This window comes from Homo sapiens, chromosome 1 (genome assembly GCF_000001405.40).
Source record: "Homo sapiens chromosome 1, GRCh38.p14 Primary Assembly".
NCBI lineage: Eukaryota > Metazoa > Chordata > Mammalia > Primates > Hominidae > Homo > Homo sapiens.
Window position 1 is genome coordinate 170,897,523 of NC_000001.11, and position 4,560 is coordinate 170,902,082.

The following is a 4,560-nucleotide window of genomic DNA, read 5'->3' on the forward strand; positions in this document are numbered from 1 at the left end:
ATAATTAGTAAAGATGTGCTTCAGAACATTGTTGTTTTTAGAGACAGGGAGCTCTCCTGACGCTCATGCTATTATATAATCCTCTCTCTGTCTCTGTTTTTGCTACAAGGTAGAATCCATAGGGCTAAGGGGATGTGCTCACTGGGAACCTGCCTCTCCTTCTAGACCTTGGTCCAAATACCTAGAACACCAGAGTTTTCCACCAGAACCTGGGACTACTTACAGGTCCCACATGGATCTCTTTCCCCAGAGGGAGATACCACCAGTGGTCACACTTCTCAACTGAAGAGGTAGCTGAGAGGTAGCTGTTTGCAAGGGTTCTAGATGGAACTATGTATATGTGTGGAGATAACTACAAGCATGTATGTGAGACCCTTAGTTGTGTGAAGTAAAGCCAGGATGAGAACAGAATTGGTGTGAGCTGCAAAACAAAAGCCAGGGGCCCACTCTTTCCAAGCCATGACTTTCTGGTTTGGGATTCCAAGAAGTCTAAGAAATCTAAATTTGAACCTGGCCTTCTAGGTTGTTAGGAGGATATATTTGCCAAGAAAGAGGATAGAGCATCGTGTATTTAACAATTTGTGGGGCTTTATGTACAGTTGCGTGGAAACAAATAGCTCTACAAAGAGAAACTTAGAACCATTAACGCAGGAGTTAACAGTTATGTAAATAGTACACAGGGAGCACACAAACAGCTAAAGGCTGAATGGAATTACAGTACAGAAGTCCCTCTACAGTATAAAAGCCTCTCTACAGTACAAAAGCCCCTCAAATTTCAAACACTCATGGAAAGAGCTAAACTACAGTCTAGGAAAAATAATAATAAGTGAGTGGTTGTTCACAATCTATATTTTAGCTTGGACATTTCAGGTCCCAGTTTGTCCACTAAATGCAAAAGCAACGGTGGTATCCTAGTGAGAAGAGACAGGGGCTTGTGGTAGGGGAAAAAAACTTCTATGTATGTAAAAATATGTATGGTATGTGAGCTTCTTTATATTCTTGATCAACCCCCTTGAATATTAGGGGAAGCCTAGAAGAAAAGAGAACCCACAGGGAAAGCATGGAATGCAAAAAACAACAGAGGTTATGAAAATTAATAAAACATACCAGAAAATTAATTAATGTGACTATAAAAATTCTAATGATGAGCTTTTGTGGGTTAAAAATGGTAAAACAAAAACATTAGGAGAGTTTGTCAATGGGGTGTTAAAAAGTGCTAGGATCCTATTATACAAGAGTAGGATGTAAATACTGAACAATTTTATAAACCATTCAAAAATGTAGAGCTAATTCTGCACTGTAAAATTATAAAAAGTTTAAGGTAATCACTAAAGAAATAGAAATACTTAGTTTCTGGACTAACAAAAGAAATTGGGAATAAATGGAACTTTAATCCAAGAGAAAACAGGAAAAGAAAAAATAAAGCAAAGAAATAGTGGTAAACTGAAAAACACAAAATAAGACAAGAAGAATAAATCCACAATTTAATAATTAAAACAAATTTAAATACAATTAAGTCACCTATTAAAATATAGAGATTAACTGTTTAGATAGTAGAAAAAGAATAAAATCTAGCTATATGCAGCTTTTAAGACACACAACTGAAGTAAAACCATGCAGGTCGGAAAAGGAATTATGAAGAAAAGATGTAACATGTAAATTCTAACCAAAGTAAAGATTATTTTATGTTAATACCAGATAATATAGAATTAAAAACAAAATAGTAATTATGAATAAATTGTGATACAATATATGGAGCAATCAACCAAGTAGCAATAATAATCACAAATGCATATGCACCTAAAAACATAGTTTCTAATACATAAGAAAATATTTGAAATAGACACATCTCCCATCAAAACAAATCAAAAATAAGCAAGGTTAGAGAATATTTGAACCACACATTACCAAGTTTGATCTTATATCCATATTTCTGTCTTTGTACCTATAGAGTTATCTTCCTTCCTTTAGTTAGAAAATATACATTATTTTAAAGAATGTAAGATGTATTTTAAAAACTAACCACACAGTAGCATAAAATTAAAAACTCAATAACAAAAGGGTAACTAAAGTACTCCATGTGTATAAAATTTTTAAAAACACATTTAAATAACTCAGAGTTTAAGAATGCATAAGGAGCTCAAACAACTCTATAGGAAAAAATATACAATAATCTGATGTTTCAAATGGGCAAAAGATCTGAATACACATTTCTTAAAAGAAGACACACAAATGGGAAATAGGCATATGTAAAGGTGCTCAACATCATTGATCATCAGAGAAATTCAAATTAAAACTATAAGATATCATTTCACTCCAGATAAAATGGCTTTTATCTAAAAGACAGGCAATAACAAATGCTGGCAAGGATGTGGAGAAAAAGAAACCCTCATACACTGTTAATGGGAATGTAAATCAGAACAATCACTATGGAGAACAGTTTAAGAATGAATAAGACCTACTACTTGATAGCATGACAGGGTGACTATAGTCAATAATAACTTAATTGTACATTTTTAAATAACTTAAAGAGTGTAATTGGATTGTTTGTAACTCAAAGGATAAATGCTTGAGGGGATGGATATCCCATTCTCCATAATGTGCTTATTTCACAGTGCATGCCTGTGTCAAAGCATCTCATGTACCCCATATGGATACACACACACACACACACACACACACACACAAACACACTCACACACACCCCTACTATGAACTCACGAAATTAAAAAAAAAAAAAACTAAAAATAGGGCAGGTGCGGTGGCTCACACCTGTAATCCCAGCACTTTGGGAGGTCAAGGCAGGTGGGCCATCTGAGGTCAGGAGTTCAAGACCATCCTGGCCAACTTGGCAAAACCCTGTCTCTACTAAAAATATAAAAATTAGCCTGGCATGATGGTGGGCACCTGTAATCCCAGGTACTCTGGAGGCTGAGGCGGGAGAATCACTTGAACCCAGGGAGGTGGAGGTTGCAGTGAGCTGAGATTGCGCCACTGCACTCCAGCCTGGGTAACAGAGCGAGACTCTGTCTCAAAAACAAAACAAAACTAAACAAAACTAAACTAAACTAAACTAAACTAAACTAAACTAAACTAAACTAAACTAAACTAAACTAAACTAAACTAAAATTAGAGCTACCACACAATCCAGCAATTCCACTCCAAGGTATAAATACAAAAGAAAGGAAATTAGTATATCAAAGGGATATTCTGCATTCCCATGCTTGTTGCAGCATTGTTCACAATGGGCAAGATTTGGAAGCAACGGTTGAACAGATAAAGTATGGTACATATACACAATGGAGTACTATTCTGCCATAAAAAATGAGATCCTTTCATCTGCAACAACATGGATGGAACTGGAAGTCATTATGTCAAATGAAATAAGCCAGGCACAGAAGACAAACATCGCATGTTCTCACTTATTTGTGGGAACTAAAAATCAAAACAGTTGAATTCACAGACACAGAGAGTAAATGGATGATTACCAGAGGCTGGGGAGGGTACTGAAGGGTGGGGGTGCAGGGGAGTGGGGATGGTTAATAAGTACAAAAAGTAATTAGAAAGAATTAATAAGACCTAGTATTTGACAGCAAAACGGAGTGACTACAGTCAATAATAATTTAATTATACATTTTAAAATAACTAAAAGAGTATAATTGGATTGTTTATAACACAAAAGATACATGCTTGAGAAGATGGATATGCCATTTACCATGATGTGATTATTAGGCATTGCATGTCTGTATCAAAGCATCTCATGTACCCCATAAATACATATATCTACTATATACCCACAAAAATTTAAAAATTTTTTTAAAAATCATCTACATAAAATATAAATGATGCTCAAAAAATTAAAAACAACAATTTATGGTTTAAAAGAGAAATCATAAAGAAAATAGAAATATATTTACAAGAAAATTATAATGAGAATACTAAATTTTGTAATTTGTTAGAATATAGCGAATGTGATACTATTGTGGAGGCAAGTAAAAGAAAAACTTAACCCCCAAAAAAGCAGAAAATTAATAAAATTTGAATACACAAATATATAGAGAATATCAGAAAGGAGGATACATACATAGATAAAATTAATTTATAAGGACGTAATTATACTCTAAGCCATTTTTAATAAAATACCTAACATTTAATTTTACTTGAAGAAAAAACAGAAATTAATTTGTAAACTTGAGTTAAAAATTTCTATATGCCAGAGCTGCTACATTTTATAAGCTCTTTTAACATTAAAGGAACTATATGAAGATAATTATATTAGTGTTATCTTTTTCAGAAAACTGTATTTTCAATTTTAGTGTGAATTGCCTCTCTTCCACCAAAAATGAAACAATTATTACTAAACTTCTTTTAATCCTCCTACCATCTTTTTTCTGTTACTTATAATATTTTTACTTGTTTAGGGATTATAACACTTATGTTTTGCAATGAAAATTCCTTCAACTGTTAATTTTTTTTTTTTTTTTTGAGACAGAGTCTCACTCTGTCGCCCAGGCTGCAGTGCAGTGGCGCAATCTGGGCTCGCTGCAACCTCCACCTCCT